This window comes from Homo sapiens, chromosome 10 (genome assembly GCF_000001405.40).
Source record: "Homo sapiens chromosome 10, GRCh38.p14 Primary Assembly".
NCBI lineage: Eukaryota > Metazoa > Chordata > Mammalia > Primates > Hominidae > Homo > Homo sapiens.
The window spans coordinates 32,973,673-32,991,618 of record NC_000010.11 but is presented as its reverse complement, the minus strand read 5'-3'; the positions used below and the strand labels follow the sequence as shown (position 1 = coordinate 32,991,618).

Genomic DNA, 17,946 nt, shown 5'->3' with positions numbered 1-17,946 from the left:
ATGCCACTACACTCCAGCCTGGGTGACAGAGCAAGATCCTGTTTCAAGAAACAAAGACAGGGAAGAAACTTAAATGCATATGTTAAGTGAAGGCAGCCAGTCGAAAAAAGCTAAATACTGTATAATTGCAATTTCACAACATTCTAGGAAAGGCAGAACTATAAAGAGATAAAAAGATCAGCAGATAGTGGGGAGGGAGAAAGAATAGGCAGCACATAGAAAGATTCTGGGAGCAGTAAACTATTCTGTATACCACTAGATGGGAACTCTCTACTTTCTGCTTGATTTTGCTATGAACTTAAAACTGCTCTAAAAAATAAAGTCTATTTCAAAAATTATCTTGAGGAAATGGGTGTCCAAACTGGTAACCAAGACTAAAGCCCAGTCCCCAGAATTTGTGGAAGAGAGCTGGTTTGGACTAGCACAAAACTGATGCTATTATAAAAGTTCCTCCAAATGCAGCTATTCTGATGGGTATAGTGTCTATGTCCTGGGAGCAATTGCTGAGCATGGTTGTATTCACTGAAGAGAGAACTTGAGCTGGGAGCACACACAGCTGAGCTTGTTCCCTATAGGAGGATTATGAGGGCACCAGGATGGAGCAGAATTGCTGTGAAGTAGACCAGCACCATCTGTTGCCAGAGGATGACAAATATGCAGCAAAACTCCATTTGTCAGTGAGAAACAATAGCAAGGTTAAATTGTTCTGATATGAGTACTGTTCTCTCTCAGGTGTGGTAGTCAGGCAGATGGCACTTTGAGGACATGGGAACCCAAGGGTGTGCTTAGGTGTCAGGGAGGGCAGTGGAAGGGAGCACTTAAGGAATGATTAAATACTGGACTCTTAACAAATGCTGGAATTGGGGAGTTTCCACTGATTTTGGAGAAAAATAGTATAAAGTAATATCAATTCACACATGTGATAATCCTGATCTAAATGCTTAAGTTTCCTCTATTTTTTTCTGAATTCTTTGACCTTATTGTATGTTCTTAAACTGCCATATATATTTGGAATTATATATAAATTGCTATATATATTCAGAAAGAGTATGCTTTGTGAAGGAGAGGGATTTGGGAAGTGATCCTGGATTCTATGCAAAAAAATAGTTAACATTGTATCCAAAAGACTTTTTATAAGGTCGTTTCACCCAAAGGCTCTATTTATGACTCCAGAGAATAACAGTTTGAAGTCATAACCTAGTTGACATAAAACATAACTGGTGTGTGCCTCTGTTTTCTTATTAGTGTATTGAGATCTCACTGCTTCAGAAATAACCATAACAGGCCAAGGCAAAGGGATAGTCCATGGCTGCTTATAGAAAGTCTTGAGTCTTTAGTTCTGCTTGGTTGTTACTGGATTCTCATGCTCATTTGCTCTCTTTTTTCTTCATCTTCTCACCCAGTTAAAAACTAATTAGGTCATACCCTTAGAATGGCAACTCTTAAGAAAAAAAACAAACAAAACAGAGAATAGCAAGTGTTGATGAGGATGTAGAGAAATCAGTACCCCTGCGCATTACTGGTGAAAATGTAAACAACAGCAGCCACAGTAAACAACAACAACAACAACAACAAAAACATATGGCAGGCTGGGCATGGTGGCTCACACCTGTAATATCAGCATTTTGAGAGGCCAAAGCAGGTGGATGGCTTGACCCCAGGAGATCAAGACCAACTTGGGCAACATGGTGAAACCCCGTCTCTACTAAAACTACAAAAATTATCTGGGTGAGGTGAAGCGCGCCTGTAGTCCCAGCTACTGGGGAGGCTGAGGCAGGAAAATCATTTGTACGTGGGAGACAGAGGTTGCAGTGAGCTGAGATGGCGCCACTGCACTCCAGCCTGGGCGACAGAGCCAGACTCTGTCTCAAGAAACAAAAACAAAACAAACAAAAAAACAGTATGGCAGTTCTTCAGAAAGTTAAACAGAATTATCATAGATCCAGCAATGGCACTTCTGGGTATATTCCCAAAAGAATTGAAAGCAGGGGTTCAAGCAGATATTTCTACATCCATGTTCATAGCAGCATCATTCACAATAGCCAAAAGGTGGAGACAACCCAAATGTCCACTGATGGATTAATGGATAAGCAAAATGTGGTACATACATGCAATGGCACATAGTGGGGTGTCATTCAGCTTTAGAAAGGAATGAAGGACCAGGCATGGTGGCTCACGCCTATAATCCCAGCACTTTGGGAGGCCAAGGTGGGTGGGTTACTTGAGGCCAGGAGTTTGAGACCAGACTGGCAAACATGGTGAAACCCCATCTCCACTAAAAATACAAAAATTAGCCAGGCATGGTGGTGGGAACCTGCAATCCCAGCTACTCGGGAGGCTGAGGCAGGAGAATCCCTTGAACTTAGGAGGTGGAGGTTGCGGTGAGCCGAGATGGCGCCACTGCACTCCAGCCTGGGTGACGGAGTGAGACTCTGCCTCAAAAAAAAAAAAAAAAAATAGGAATTAAAAGTCTTACACATGCTACAATGTTGATGAAACCTTGAAGACATTATGCCAAGTGAAATCAGCCAGACACAGAAGGGGAAATGTTGTATCGTTCCATTTATACAAGGTACCTAGAGTGTCACATTCAGAGAGACAAAAGTAGAACGGTTCTGCTTGGTTGTTACTGGATTCTCATGCTCATTTGCTCTTTTTTCTTCATCTTCTCACCCAGTTAAAAACTAATTAGGCCATACCCTTAGAATGGCAGCTATTAAAAAAAAAAAAAAAAAGACAGAGAATAACAAGAATAGTCTCCCTCGGGGGAGGGTGAATGGAGAGTTATTGATTAATGAGTACAGGATGTCAGTTGGGGAGGAAGAAAAAGCTCTGGAGATAGTTGGTGGTGATGGTTGTGCAACAATGTGAATGTACTGAATAACACCAAACTGTACATTTACAAACAGTTAAAATGATACATTTTATATTATATATATTTTGTCACGATTAAAGAAAATTCATAAAAGGAAAAGAACATTTGGGTTGTGGGAAAGGAAGCTGGTGTCCGGAGGGGATCTAGATGCTCCAGTGCTTGCATGACACTTGGCCCTGGGTTCTTTACATCCTCCCTTCCAGGTCCTGAAAGTCTTTAGTCATTCATTCATTCATTCATTCAGCTAATGTTTATTAAGCATGTACTATGTGTTAAAGCTAAAACTACGGAATAGCTTGGGAACTACTGATTGTTGGTTAAATGCAGAATAGATTCTACTGAAATCATCAATACATGGAAATTATCAAATAATTTTTCTATTAAAACAATATAATTGTTTGCTATCCTCATTGCAGATTTTTCACATTCAGATATAGACTTGATTCTTAAATCAGTGTGTCACAAAATATGAAAGCTGCAAGGAAAATGATCAAGCCTACTAAATCACTCAGTAAAATAATATTTTTTCAAATAAAATTCAGGGATCACTAATATCATAAAATACAATATTAAAGCTGGTACACAGCCTTCTTAAACAGTCTAAATGGTCATGATTGGACCAAAAACATGAATTCACTGTGAAACATGGAAGCACATCCAGGAACTCATGTGGTTCACCTGAGCCCCTAGAAGTACACAAAGCAAGCTGGGTGTCGTGGTTCACGCCTGTTATCCTGGCACTTTGGAAGGCTGAGCCAGAGAGACTTGAGGCCAGGAGTTCGAGACCAGGCCGGGCAACATGGTGAAACCCCGACTCTACAAGAAATACAAAAAAAATTAGCAAGGCGTGGTCGCATACGTGCCTGTAGTCCTTAGCTACTCCAGAGGCTGAGGTGGGAGGATCACTTGAGGCTGGGAGGTTGAGGCTGCAGTGAGCAGTGATGGCACCACTACACTCCAGCCTGGGTGACAGAGCAAGACCCTATCTCAAATTTAAAAAAAAAAAAAAAAGAAAGAAAAAGAAAAGAAGAACAAGTCCACATACATATTGATTTCTATCCCTTTATTCTACTCATTTAAGTGATACACCCAAAACACATACTATGTTTTTGTTATGATTTAATTGTTCTGTAAGTTGCAACTGAAAACTGAAATAGTTTGTTCTTTTATTCACAATTTTTTTAAATGTGTAAAGCAATTGCAAATTGAAAAGTCTACATGTCAACAAAGGCAATTTGGTAACTGTGGTGTAGTATAAGAATGTGGACTTGGGGTCCAAAAATCTGCAGGTCACTAGACATATGACCTGGGAAAAATCAGTCTCCATGCTGTTTTATATCTGAAAGTAAGAATAATAATGCCGACACACCCTAATTTCCAAGGTTACCATGTACATGTGAGGTAGGCTTATATTTCTGAGGATGCTTTTTGGTCATGCTATAAGAGATGATAATAGCTATCACCAAAATGGAGTTTCTTTTTAAGTTTAAATAAGACAGCTGTGCATTTAATGCTGTATATGAGCAATTATTAAGATGCTATGTAAGTCCAGATTTTTTAAACATATAATAATACATTGTTATTAATCAGAAAAGAAAAAGAAAACTAGTCAGGCACAACCTATAAACGGGTTTTGAATTCCACATTTGTCATTGGGCAAAAATTCCTACAGACTTAAAATAACAGCTACTCTATTATTTCACCTATCAATTTCCCCACCACAGTGAGGAAAATATTTATTGGTCCCCCAAATTTATGATCCCTCCATCTACTCACAGTTCACTTTGCATCTTTCTTTTTCTTAATCAAATTTACCGTTTATTTTATTTATTTATTTATTTTTGAGACAAGGTCTCACCCTACCACCCAGGCTGGAGTACAGTGGCACCATCTCGGCTCACTGCAGCCTTGACTTCCCAGGCTCAAGGGGTCCTCCCACCTCAGCCCCTCAAGGTAGTTACAGGTGTGCGCCACCATGCTCAGCTAATTTTTGTATTTTTTTGTAGAGATGGGGTATTGCCATGTTGTGCAGGCTGGTCGTGAACTCCTGGGCTCAAGCGATCCAGCAGCCTCAGCCTCCCAAAATGCTGGGATTACAGGTGTGAGTCACCGCCCCCCGCCAAATTTACCTTTTAAATGCAAGGTTTAAAAACATTAAATTTATTTTTCTATTGCTATAGTTTTACTAATTTTAATTTTTTAACCTACATGACTTGATAAGATTATTCCTCTCTGGAACCAACGGAAACACAAAACAGGTAACAATAATTCCTATTGTGGACTGATTCTTTGGACAATCATCCAAATAACTAAAACACAGTATACCCATAGAAAATTGTGAAGTTCTCTTGCTCTGGCATGGGTTTAAAACCAACAAAAAAATGATGATTTTAAACTCGGGGGGAAAAAACAGTGATCTAGGGCAAACCAAGACCTGCGAACAAAATCTGGCTGACTTCCCGTTTTTGAAAATAAAGTTTTATTGGAACACAGCCATGTTTATTTGCATACATATCATCCACAGCTGCTTTTGCAAGACAAAGGCAGTTGAGCAGTTGCAACAGAGATCACATGGTTTGCAAAGTCAAAGATATTTACAATTTGGTCCTTTGTAGAAAAAAATTGCCAATTCTTAATCTAGGGACTAAATAGAGGAAAAAGGAAATAGAAGCCCCTCTTTCTTGCAGTAATGTTAAAAATCACAATTTCTAAAATATAAATATTTTGCACCAGGTTGGAAAACAGGCATTCAGCCTAATACTCATTAAAGCCTTACACTTAAAGGTCACTCTGTGGTCAGTATTCTTTGCTGCTGGATGACAGGAAGTGTGAGTAAGCTTTCTTTCTCTGCGAATGAACAACTTGCTGTGTCCAGATTTGTTTTGTAAGGACAAACAATATGATGCAAAAAGCAATGACATACAAATAACAAAATGATGTAAACCCTTTCCACAAATTGTTGGATGGGTTTTTAGACCAACCTGACCTTCATTCCACTTTTACTTTGAGAAGCTGCCTCTTTGGGGCTTCAGGTTTTGCTGCAGAGGTCACAGGAGGTGGGCAGTGGTATGGTGGAGGCATGTTCCGCACTCCCCTCTTTCCAGCCTTGGGAAGCTGTCTCCTAAGGTGGAAAAAGATGCTTCAATACCTCTTGTACAGTCTACACCTTCCTTCACCCGAGGCACAGTCAAGCCTTTTGCTGGTTTCACTCCATTCCTTTCTAGCTACCTAAGGCAATAAATTTCCATTTTTGCTTAAGTACTTCGAGTTGGGTTCCTGTCACTTACAATCACAACAGCTTTTTGTCAGAATCCTTTCTTTGGCTCTGATGTTCTGATTTTCACTTCCAGTAAGCTCATCTGTGAGAGGTGTTGCACACGACATTTAATGCCAGCTGTACATTAAAATCACAGGTCCAATATTTATTACTTCTGTGCACGTTTGAGCTTCACTTCTTACCTCTACAAAATGAAGATAATACTACCTACTTTCACAATTGTGATGATGAAAGGAGATGACGTATTTGTAAAGCATCATGCATGGAAGAGACAATAAATATTGTGGCTTTTTTTTTTTTTTTTTTGTGATACAGTCTTGCTCTCATTGCCCAGGCTGGAGTGCAATGGTGCGATCTTGGCTCACTGCAACCTCCGCCTCCCATGTTCAAGCAATTCTCCTGCCTCAGCCTCCCGAGTAGCTGGGATTACAGGCATCCGCCACCACGCCTGGCTAATTTTTTATATTTTAGTGGATACGGGGATTTGCCATGTTGGTCAGGCTGGTCCCGAACTCCTGACCTCGTGATCTGCCCACCTTGGCCTCCCAAAGTGGTGGGATTACAGGCATGAGCCACCAAGCCTGGCCTAAATATTGTAAATATGGCCTTTCAGTCCTCCCCTACCAAACACAAACAATGGATCGAGAGGTCCTAAGCCTCACCTCTTCCTACTCATCCTACGCATACTCAGTCTTCTAGAATTGATTCAATTGCTCCTTGTTTGTGTAGCCTCACCAGCCCAGCCACCACTTTATTAAGCTCTAGATGTCAATTCTCAATGATTCTACAATCCTCTGAGATTAGCACTCATACCTTTTATAGCCCTCAAACCAGTTTTTAAGAACAACTTTCAGGGCTGGGTACCGTGGCTCACGCCTGTAATCCCAGCACTTTGGGAAGCTGAGGAGGACGAATCCCTTGAGGCCAGGAGTTTGAGACCAGCCTGGGCAACATGGCAAAATCCTGTCTCTACTTAAAAATACAAAAATTAGCTGGGTGTGGTGGCACGCACGTAATCCCAGCTACTCAGGAGGCTAAGGCATGAGAATCACTTGAACCAGGGAGGTGGAGGTTGCAGTGAGTCCAGGTTGAGCAACAGCACTCCAGCCTGGGCAACAGAGCAAGACTCTGTCTCAAAACAAACAACTTTCCACTTTGTTCATAATAGCAATATATGTTCATTACAGAAAATTTAGAAAATAGAGAAATACAAAGATGAATATACAGTAAAGGCATAAATCAGCTATATTCCCAATCCTACAACCCAGAAATAATTCATTCTTTCTCTCTCTCCCCTCCCCCCAATTTCTCTCTCTCTCTTATTCTACATGTATCCCATTAGTATACTTCTAGTGGTAATTAAGAGAAAACCTGGACTCAATATGCAATTGGTTTAAACTATAAGAAAAAATTAGCTCACATAATAAGTTTGGAAATAAGATGAGTTATTTAGCTGGACAACTCATCAAAAGTCAGTCTTCAGTTACTCAACAAGGAACTAGAATTGAGACAATTTTAATATTCCTTAAATGCTTTTATGAAGACAAAATGAAAATCAGTCAACAATATCTAAATAGTTAAAAGAAGCGAGTAAATCCAGCAAATCAGCCGTAGTGGAAACTGATTTGCAGTGGGTGGGTGTTTGTTGAACTGGCTCTTGGTCACTGACCTGCAGCCTCCAAGGCTAATAAGTCAACAGATCAGCAGATCAATCAGCTGGGGCCTTTGCATTTTTCCACATTCCCAGGCCTGTCAGCTCAGCCTCAGGCCTGGCTGCATGGTGGCTTTATCACATGTAGAGTCTAACATTTAATGGAAGCATGACTTTGTTTCCTGCTTTTAAAGATAGAGGGAAGCTTTTCCTAACATTTAATGGAAGCATGACTTTGTTTCCTGCTTTTAAAGATAGAGGAAAGCTTTTCCAGAAGCCTCTCCACTCTCATCCACCTCACTGGCCTGGAATGAATTATACTCCCCGGACTCAGAAGATCACTAGCCAGGGGAATTCACATTCACCACTCACTGATGATTCACTCCCCAGGGCAGGGCTGGTGACTGCCTCCCCTGAAGCACACTGCTGTGCAGAGAATAGAAAGCCCACCAAAATTAAGAGGTGTTAGGAAGGAGAAGGGAAGTGGTGTGGGTAGGAAGTCAACAGTTTCTGCCACCATATCTTTTTGACTTAAATTTAAATTTCTCCATGTCCATATATAGTTTTTGAAAACATGATTTTATCTGAAAACATAATTGCATGAAAGCATCAAGTTTATTTAACAAGTTCCCTACTGTTAGGCATTTAAGGCAATTCAATTTTTCACTATCATCAACCACTTAGAATTTTGCCCTAAAACTGCCAAATTAATGTCCCTAAATCCATTGACTTGAGTCATGCTGTTTCTCTTACTGAATAAGTATTAACATTTACGGTTGAAGATGACTTTAACTTTGCTTATATGTCATCAGTGAATCAATACATGAATTTTCAAGAAATGCTAGATTTGTCCAATACATACATATGTCCTTTTCCAATCTTTATTATTAGCTTTTATGTCTCCTCACTTTCCCCCTGTCTAGAAGAGCTCTTGGCAAATTCATTTCAAGAAACCTTTGCTGATAATTTTGCCAGGTCCTATAAGGACCCAATCTCTGCCTTCAGGAGCTTATAATTTAGTAGTTTTTCTTGAATTAGCTCTCAGTAGGCAGATCACTTAAGGCCAGGAGTTCGAGACCAGTCTGACCAACATGGCAAAACCCTGTCTGTAATAAAAATACAAAAATTACCTGGGCGTGGTGGCGCATGCCTTTAATCCCAGCTACTCGGGAGGCTGAGGCACAAGAATCGCTTGCATCTGGGAGGTGGAGGTTGCAGTGAGCCAAGATCGCACCACTGCATTCCAGCCTGGGTGACTACAGAGTGAGATTCTGTCTCAAAAAAATAAACAAAAAAACCCACAAAACTCTCAGTAGATAAAGATACGTAGACGACCAGGACTGTCTGATTCATACATCTGTTTAATATTTACTGAATATCTATTATGTGCCAGGCCCAGATCTAGAATCCAGGGATGGCCAGGCACGGTGACTCATGCTTGTACCCCCAGAATTTTGGGAGGCCAAGGTGAGAGGATCACTTGAACCTAGGAGTTCGAGGCAGCAGTGTGCTGTGATCATGCCACTGCACTCCAGCCTAGGAGACAGAGCAAGACCCTATCTCAAAAAAATAAAACAGACTAGAATCCAGGGGTGCAATGCTTTTAGGGAACTTAGTAATATTCTTAGGTAGTGAGAAAGAAGCCCAAGTGAATCTTTCAAGTTGTTCTTCCTACCTTTTATTCTCAAGCCCTTTGTCACTTAGAAAGGAAACATCTGGTCTTTTCTGCCCTTATCTGAATCCTTTTGAGAGAATAATTCATGTAGATTTTCTCACCTTTGGCCTTGTCACTGTCGTCATAGATAATGTGGCTATTTCAACAAAGGGCTAGGCTTAGCCAGAGAATGTAATTTTACAAACTTTATTTCCTGATGCAGCCTGCAGCTCACAAACAAGGCAGGAAGTGCTGCTCACAGTGAACTTGGCTGGCTGTGGCTGCAAATAAAATGGGAGCCTTCAAACATTGCTGACCCAGCGGCCAGATCCTATTCCCTGGGGTCCTGGCCCTACCAGGGCATGAGAGGCCGCAGAGCAATGGGCTCCGAATTAGGACTTTGTTCACTTTGGAAGTTGAGGGATAGAATATCCCCCTTACAAATGGGAATTTAAGTGTAAACAGCTCTGTACTTTCCCAGGTGACCCTGCTTTAAAAACAAGCATATAAACATTTCATTTTTAAGGAAATAAAATTATAAGAATCTTTCTACCTTTGTAGGTTTGTCTAAATTAATACAATAAATGAGTTCCTTTCTTGGCTCAAAGGGACTAGGTTGGGAAAAAAATATCATTGTTCATAGAATTTTAGAGTGGGAAGGGCTCTTGGAAATCATCTAGTCTGGTGACAGGGAAACCTGGCTGCCCATGGAAATGACATGGACAGCCTTCAAGAATAGACATAGCTGGGCACGGTGGCACATCTGTAATCCCAGCTACTCTGTAGGCCGATGTGGGAGGATCCCCGGAGTCCAAGAGTTTGAGACCAGCCTGGGCAACACAGCAAGACCCCTGTAAGAAATATTTCCGGGCGCAGTGGCAGGCACCTGTAGTTGCAGCTAATCGGGAGGCTGAGGCAGGAAGATCACTAGAGCCGGGGAGGTAGAGGCTGCAGTGAGCTAGGCTCGCCACTGCACTCCAGCCTGACAAGAGAGCTAGACACTATCTGAAGACAAAACAAAGCAGAACCCCAGGCCCCTCCTGGGCCAGCTGTATCGGATTCCCAGGGCACTGGCATAACACATTTTATCTACTCAAACATCGACTTCTTTCTTTAGTTTATTACCCCCATAGAAAGGTCAGTGAAGCTGGAGGAGAAGCACTGACTGCTGAGAACTGAGAACATCTTCTGGGGAGATGAGAGGTCAGTAAATAGATAACGAAGGCAGAAACGGCAGGCGCGTCCGTGGCAGAGGAGCTCCTGACCAGGACGCCAGCGCAGAGCGCCAGGGTTTATCTGAGCAGCGTCATCGCTTCCTGCGTTTCTGGGAGTCCTGCCCCGGGAGGAGTCCGGGCGCTGCCCCTGCCCCCACAAGCCCATATTCCTCCTCTCCCGCACTGCATTGCAGACCTAGGAGGGCACTGAGAACCCAGAGAGCCCTGCCGAGCCGTGATGCAGCAGCGGATCTGACAAATCCGCCCGGTGCACAGAGCACGTGACTCATTGTGATGTGTCAGTGAGTCGGCGGCTGGACGCGGTTCCGCACAGAGCTCCTAGCCCTATCCCTCCCCGAAGGCGATGACAGAGGTGTAGGCTCCTAGAAGCTGCCAGGCCTTGCAGCAACGCTGCACGCAGGAGACGCACCTAGGGCAGAAGCTCAGCCAGTAGCTTCGGGCTGGCTTTTCTGCTTCATGCAGGTGAATACAGAATGCCTTTGTTTCCTTCCCTCGGTCCCACCTCCAGTGTAGTAAAGCTGATTTTTCTTAGCAGAGAAAGAGCAAACGTTAATTTTCTAAAAAAGATACATTTTTAAAAAGGCAAACTTAAATCCAATTCAAAGAAGAATGCATTGCTCTGACTGAGTTATCCAATAAGATGCATTTATTCAACAGATACATTGACTACCTACTAAGCACTAGACACCGTTTTAGGCATTGTGGAACAAAACAAGCAAATATTCTTGCTTTCTGAAACTTATATTCTTTTTTAATTTTTTTTTTTTTTGAGACGGAGTCTTGCTGTGTCACCCAGGCTGGAGTGCACTGGCACGATCTCGGCTCACTGCAACCTCCACCTCCCGGGTTCAAGCAATTCTCCTACCTCAGCCTCCCTAGTAGCTGCGATTACAGGCGTGTGCTACCACGACCGGGTAATTTTTGTATTTTTAGTAGAAATGGGGTTTCAGCATATTGGCCAAGCTGGTCTCGAACTCCTGGCCCCAAGTGATCCGCCCACCTCTGCCTCCCAAAGTGCTGAGATTATAGGCGTGAGCCACCGCGCCTGGCCTGGAACTTACATTCTTAAAATGCAAATCATAAATCTTGGTAATCTTGATAATTAATGAAACGCACATAAATGATGGTTTCCTTTCCCCGAATTAAGACCTTCCAAATGTTTATTGAAGTCTTCATATTTTAATATTTAAAGGAGCAGCAATTTAATTAAGTGGGAATATTTGAAATAGTGTGGCATCATAGCAAATAGGAAGAATTAAGTTAATTTCACTCTTCCATAATATAAAAGAACCCCTTAAAGCCACACATTAATGTGAAAAGCAAAGTTTAGTAAAATCTATGATTGAGGATCAAAATCCACAAACTATCAAATGCCACTTTTTTTTTACTCTGGAGTTAATCTAAAAACTACTGATTTATTATTTTAATATTACCAGTAGCTACCATTTATGGAGTACTATCTATGTGCCAAGCACTGTGCAAATATGCATTTTTAAAAATTAAATTCTTGCCATAAACCTTTGAGGCTGGTCTTGTTCTGCCCATTTTACAGTGATAACTGAAACACAGAGAGGTTAAGTAACAGGTCCAAGATCACACAGCTCTAGAATGAAATTCAAACCCAGCATCTGGTATTAATGAATAAATTCTAGTGCCTTGCCAAACCTTCTTGTGACTCTATCATGGATTACAGATGGGAAAATTATAACCTAGTGGTTAAGGGCTTGGTGTCCAGCACACTCGATTTGCATCCTGGCTCCGATGCTACAAAGCCAAATCATCACTGCCTCACTCGGTTATCCTGGGGATTATAGGATAATTCATTTGAAGCACATGGACAATTTTTGGGTCTTAGCTCCCAATTAATGTTAACCATGATAATGACAGTCAAAAAGATGTTGAAACTCAAAACCACAATGAGATATCATCTCACACCAGTTAGAATGGTGATCATTAAAAAGTCAGGAAACAACAGATGCTGGAGAGGATGTGGAGAAATAGGAACGCTTTTATATTGTTGGTGGGAGTGTAAACTAGTTCAACCATTGTGGAAGACAGTGTGGTGATTCCTCAAGGATCTAGAACTAGAAATACCATTTGACCCAGCCATCCCATTACTGGGTATATACCCAGAGAATTATAAATCCTGCTACTATAAAGACACATGCACACGTATGTTTATTGCAGCACTATTCACAATAGCAAAGACTTGGAACCAACCCAAATGTCCACCAATGATAGACTGGATTAAGAAAATGTGGCACATATGCACCATGGAATACTATGCAGCCATTAAAAAGGATGAGTTCATGTCCTTTGCAGGGACATGGATGAAGCTGGAAACCATCATTCTGAGAAAACTATCGCAAGGACAGAAAACCAAACACTGCATGTTCTCACTCACAGGTGGGAATTGAACAATGAGAACACCTGGACACAGGGCGGGAAACATCACACACTGGGGCCTGTCATTGGGTGGAGGGCTGGGGGAGGGATAGCATTAGGAGAAATACCTAATGTAGATGACGAGTTAATGGGTACAGCAAACCAACATAGCACAGTATACCTATATAACAAAACTGCACATTGTGCACATGTACCCTAGAACTTAAAGTATAATTTAAATAAATAAATAAATAAATAAATAAATAAATAAATAAATAATGATGATGGTTGTAGGCCAGAATCTTGACTTAGGTATAAACTCTCTTCTTATTTTAGTCTCCCAAATTTTGAAGTTTGAGTTCCTGAATCTTTAGAGGATAATGATAGTCATCAAATTGCTGTTTTATTTCTTTCTTGACTTATCATCACTGTTATCAAGTAGGTAATAGAGTGGTATGCTAAAGAGCAAGGGTTTGAAGCCAGGATAGGATGTAAATCTTGGTTCTGGAATGTGCTTGATGTGGAACTTGGACTCATCATTAAAGGTTTAAGCCCCTGTTTCTCAAGCTGTCTACAGTGAAAGATCAGGGTTTGTTTTTTTTTTTTTAACCTTTGTCCCTGCTTTTTTCTCCTTCCTTCACTTCTTCTGTTCTTCCTTTCTTGCTATTTCCCATCTGTTATGGACCAATACTTTTGCAAAATGCAATAAAAATATCTTAGCAATGCCAAATTGCTATAAATATTCCTCAATACTCTCAAGTTTTGTTCTAAATTCATTGTGGACTGTTAACAGCTTTTTTTTTTCTTTTGTTTTTTAGAAATAGAATGGGTGGGTCGGGTGCGGCGGCTCATGCCTGTAATCCCAGCACTTTGGGAGGCCAAGGTGGGTGGATCATGAGGTCAGGAGTTCGAGACCATCCTGGCCAACACGGTGAAACCCTGTCTCTACTAAAAATGCAAAAATTACCTGGGCATGGTGGTGCATGCCTGTAATCCCAGCTACTCAGGAGGCTAAGGCAGGAGAATCACTTGAACCAGGGAGTCGGAAGCTGCAGTGAGCTGAGATCACGCCGTTGCACTCCAGCCTGGCGACAGAGGGAGACTTCGTCTCAAAAAAAAAAAAGAAAGAAAGAGAATGCATGCCATTTGGTTCCATGAGTAAGTTTTTTAACGGTGATTTGTGAGATTTTGGTGCACCCATCACCCGAGCAGTATACACCGAACCCAATTTGTGGATTGTTAACAGCTTTTAGATCACACTTTGAATGTCATTACTCTAAGCTTTTGCTTCCTATGTTTCCTAATTTATAATCTTGGATCCTAATATTTATTTCATGTGATGGTTGTCAAAAATCAAGTGAAATAATATAAATAGATTGCTTATTACATTACGTGTCTAGTATATTGTGAACGCTGAGAAATTAGAGCCCCTTAGGATGCCTATGTCAGAAACAGGGACAAAGAGACAGATTTGTAAGAAGTAGACACTCAAGTATTCATAGATGAGTTCCACCTAGGTTAATTTTCTGCCCACCCCATTGGGAAGCTCAGTTGTTCCCTTGGGAGACATATCCCAGAACTCCCGTTTTTTTCAGTGATGTCTTAAAAGGGGTAAGTGACTAGCCTGGGCCAAGCCACAAGTCATCCCAAAGCCCTGCACATTCTGAACTCTCAGCCCGCTGTTCTATTTTGCGCAGTATATGCATGACCCTAGAACGCCACTAAAAATAAGCAGTAACATTAATATGCCCGTCTAAAAAAAGTGAGTACCTTATGATCAGGATTTTAATTGTGGCTCAGGATTGTAACTCTCCCTGTAAAGCACGGTCAAATTAAATTGAGAAAATACTGCTTAAGTAGCCTATTTAATAACAGTGCTATTACTGCATTGGCATCCATTTGGCTTCTAGAGTGAGATGAATAGAGGTCCCTACAAGGCTAGAAGAGGGCACAGTGATGCCCTGTAATGACACCCATCGGAATGATTCATGTAATAGACAGTGATGGGTTGTCAGGAAGTGCAGCTGCATCACAGTGAATGTCAGCATCCTTCAGGCAATATACAAAGGCTGTACGAGCATCTAAGTTTTTAAATCATGGTGCTGACATGAAACAGGAAGGGTTTCCCTGCTCATGGTATTTAATTGATTTTGGCATGAGCTGCAACTAAAGCACCAACAAAACATAAAAAAGGAAGATAGCAAATATCACTAAGGTGTGTCTAATTACTCTAACCCTGAGTGATAGCCTCAAAATTATCAGCAAAAATCACCTCATAGGCCGGGTGTGGTGGCTCACACCTGTAATCCCAGCACTTTGGGAGGTCGAGGTGGACAGATCACCTGAGGTCAGAAGTTCGAGACCAGCCTGGTCAACATGGTGAAACCCCATCTCTACTAATAATACAAAAATTAGCCGGGCATGGTAGCACACACCTGTAATCCCAGCTACTTGGGAGGCTGAGGCAGGAGAATTGCTTGAAGCCGGGAGGCAGAGGTTGCAGTGAGCTGAGATCACGCCATTGCACTCCAGCCTGGGCGACAGGAGTGAAACTCTGTCTCAAAAAAAAAAAAAAAAAAAAAATCACCTCATGAAAACAGCATGAGGCATGAGTAAAAGTTCTCAGAATCCAGATTCATACCAAATTTAAGTGTATATCAAACTATACCCAATAATCAGTATTAAAAACATTTTCTGTAAAGTATATCAGAGAACAACGAATCCTGCTATAAATAGTATTTAAGTTTTCAGCTGTGATAGGGAAAACTACAACACTGAAAAAGATCCGAAAGATAATATCTGTCAAATTTGAAGCACCTGAAAAAACTTCTATAGGAAATTGTAACCAAAACACCAAGGGTTTGGTCTAGGTCCTGCTGCTATGGGCACAGAAAGCCAACGACTGAGAGAAGAGTTGCCAAGGAAGAAGGATTTAATCGGGTGTTGCAGCCAAGGAGATGGAAGCTCAGTCTCAAATCCATCTCCCCCACTGGCTAAAACTAGGGGTTTATATAGCAGAGAAGAAATGTAACAATGTGTAAGAAAATAGGAACTCAGAAGGGGCAAGGAAGCAATCATGATGAGTGAGGGGTCCGCATCTATCCCATTGTCTGGATGTGGTGATCTGGGGAGTTCTAGTTCTTTGGTACTTTTTTTTTTTTTTTTTTTTTTTTTTTTTTTGCCAGGCCTGACAGTCATTTCTTGGGGAAGGAATGCAGATAAAACAAATACAAGTTTCAAGCTTTAAGAACAGAAGGGTCAATTTCTATGTTTATATTACAAAAAATAATGATAAGAACTATCTATGGGACTATGGGTGCATTTCAAAAACCTCAAATAGAAATAAACTGTTAGAGGAAAAAGATGTGAAAGTCAAATAAAAAGACAATACGAGTCAATTCAATGAGAAGAAATATCAATACATTGACAGGTTATGTGGTCTAAAACAATGAAACATATCCTAGAATTGATCGTTTTCTACTAGTTGAATTGGCAACATCAGTTTCATTATCAGAGGGTACATAAAAGTAGTGGTGTAGATCTGAAGGAAGAAAAGTTCTACCTTCTAAAGCAACTGGAATAGAGGAAAAAGAACAGTAAAGAAACGACATGGAAGGTAGCACAAGAAAAGAATAAGGCAGCCAGCAGGTAAGAAGCTAAAGTGGTTACGAGTAGGAGCTTTCAGCCGCACATATGTGGGTTGAAATTTTTCTCTAAAATCAGGTTGGTGGCTGGGTGCAGTGGCTCACGCCTGTAATCCCAGCACTTTGGGAGGCCAAGGTGAGAGGATCACTTGAGCCCAGGAATTCAAGACCTGCGTGGATGAAATAGTGAAACCCTGTCTCTACAAAAAAAATAGTTAAAAAATAATAAAATAAAATGGGGTTGGCAAGGTCTACCTTGAAGATTTAATGAGATAATGTGTGGAAAGGGCTTAGCAAGGTCCTAACATGTGCTTGGGTAGTTCTGAAGCCATAACCACAGACTTGAAGTCTAAATAACTCTTTAAAAACTCATGCTTTTCCTTTGGTCCTTTCTTGGAGAAAGATCTCCTGTTGTTTAGCTTTTGAGCCATCCTAGATGTCATCCCTGCCTTCAGTTTACCTGTCATTTTCGTTTCCTGTCTTTGGGATGGCTCATATACTCATTTCCCCCTTCCCAGTCTCACTTTGGGACAACTTCTCTGCCCTTCCAAGGTTCATAATCAGGAAACAGAAGAGTGATTAGTACATATTTCTAGTCCAGAAGTCCTCTCAAGAAGAAAAACAACTAGAATGATACTGAAGATTACACTTTCTAAGTGAACAAACAATAATATCCATGAAAGATTTTTTAAAGAATTTTATGCATAACTAGAAATGCTGGGGACTAATGAGCTAAAACAGTTTGGAATTGTATATCAATGTATACTAGGAAAACACTACCCACAATAAAATATTTTATAATGAAATTTGGATTTGAAATTTTTTTTTTTTGAGACGGAATTTCGCTCTTGTTGCCCAGTCTGGAGTACAATGGCGCAATCTCAGCTCACCACAACCTCCGCCTCCCAGGTTCAAGTAATTCTCCTGCCTCAGCCTCCCGAGTAGCTGGGATTACAGACATGCACCACCACGCCTGGCTAATTTTGTATTTTTTAAGTAGAGACAGGGTTTCTCCATGTTGAGGCTGGTCTCGAACTCCTGACCTCAGGTGATCCGCCTGCCTCAGCCTCCCAAAGCACTGGGATTACAGGCTTGAGCCACCACGCCTGACCTGAAAAATGTTTTTAATTCTACACTGATAATGCAGCAAGCTCAAACCTAAGCTGCAACTCTACTTGTAAATGGTTGCAATACTGTCTTTCTTTTCTTTTTTTTTTCCAAGACA

At 41.2% G+C, this 17,946-nt stretch overlaps 1 long non-coding RNA gene across 1 annotated transcript in view, besides 4 other annotated features; it reads right to left on the bottom strand.

The window, feature by feature from the left end:
* The window catches only part of ITGB1-DT (ITGB1 divergent transcript), a 99,552-nt gene extending 90,484 nt beyond the window's left edge, over window positions 1-9,068 (bottom strand). Inside the window, exons 1-2 of the long non-coding RNA NR_184020.1 lie at window positions 8,934-9,068; window positions 5,862-5,996 (exon numbers count right to left, since the gene is read on the bottom strand). This is a non-coding gene — a long non-coding RNA (ITGB1 divergent transcript). The remainder of the gene's footprint in view (window positions 1-5,861; window positions 5,997-8,933) is intronic.
* Window positions 10,242-10,804: an enhancer, noted in NCBI's record as "H3K27ac-H3K4me1 hESC enhancer chr10:33269743-33270305 (GRCh37/hg19 assembly coordinates)". NCBI's record gives its function as "activates a minimal SCP1, AML or CMV promoter by ChIP-STARR-seq in primed H9 embryonic stem cells {active_cell/tissue: H9 hESC(primed)}" and the evidence as "EXISTENCE:reporter gene assay evidence [ECO:0000049][PMID:30033119]".
* Window positions 10,805-11,367: an enhancer, noted in NCBI's record as "H3K27ac-H3K4me1 hESC enhancer chr10:33269180-33269742 (GRCh37/hg19 assembly coordinates)". NCBI's record gives its function as "activates a minimal SCP1, AML or CMV promoter by ChIP-STARR-seq in naive and primed H9 embryonic stem cells {active_cell/tissue: H9 hESC(naive and primed)}" and the evidence as "EXISTENCE:reporter gene assay evidence [ECO:0000049][PMID:30033119]".
* Window positions 10,857-10,946: an enhancer, noted in NCBI's record as "active region_3252". NCBI's record gives its function as "activates an Ori minimal core promoter by ATAC-STARR-seq in GM12878 lymphoblastoid cells {active_cell/tissue: GM12878}" and the evidence as "EXISTENCE:reporter gene assay evidence [ECO:0000049][PMID:35858748]".
* Window positions 10,997-11,046: an enhancer, noted in NCBI's record as "active region_3251". NCBI's record gives its function as "activates an Ori minimal core promoter by ATAC-STARR-seq in GM12878 lymphoblastoid cells {active_cell/tissue: GM12878}" and the evidence as "EXISTENCE:reporter gene assay evidence [ECO:0000049][PMID:35858748]".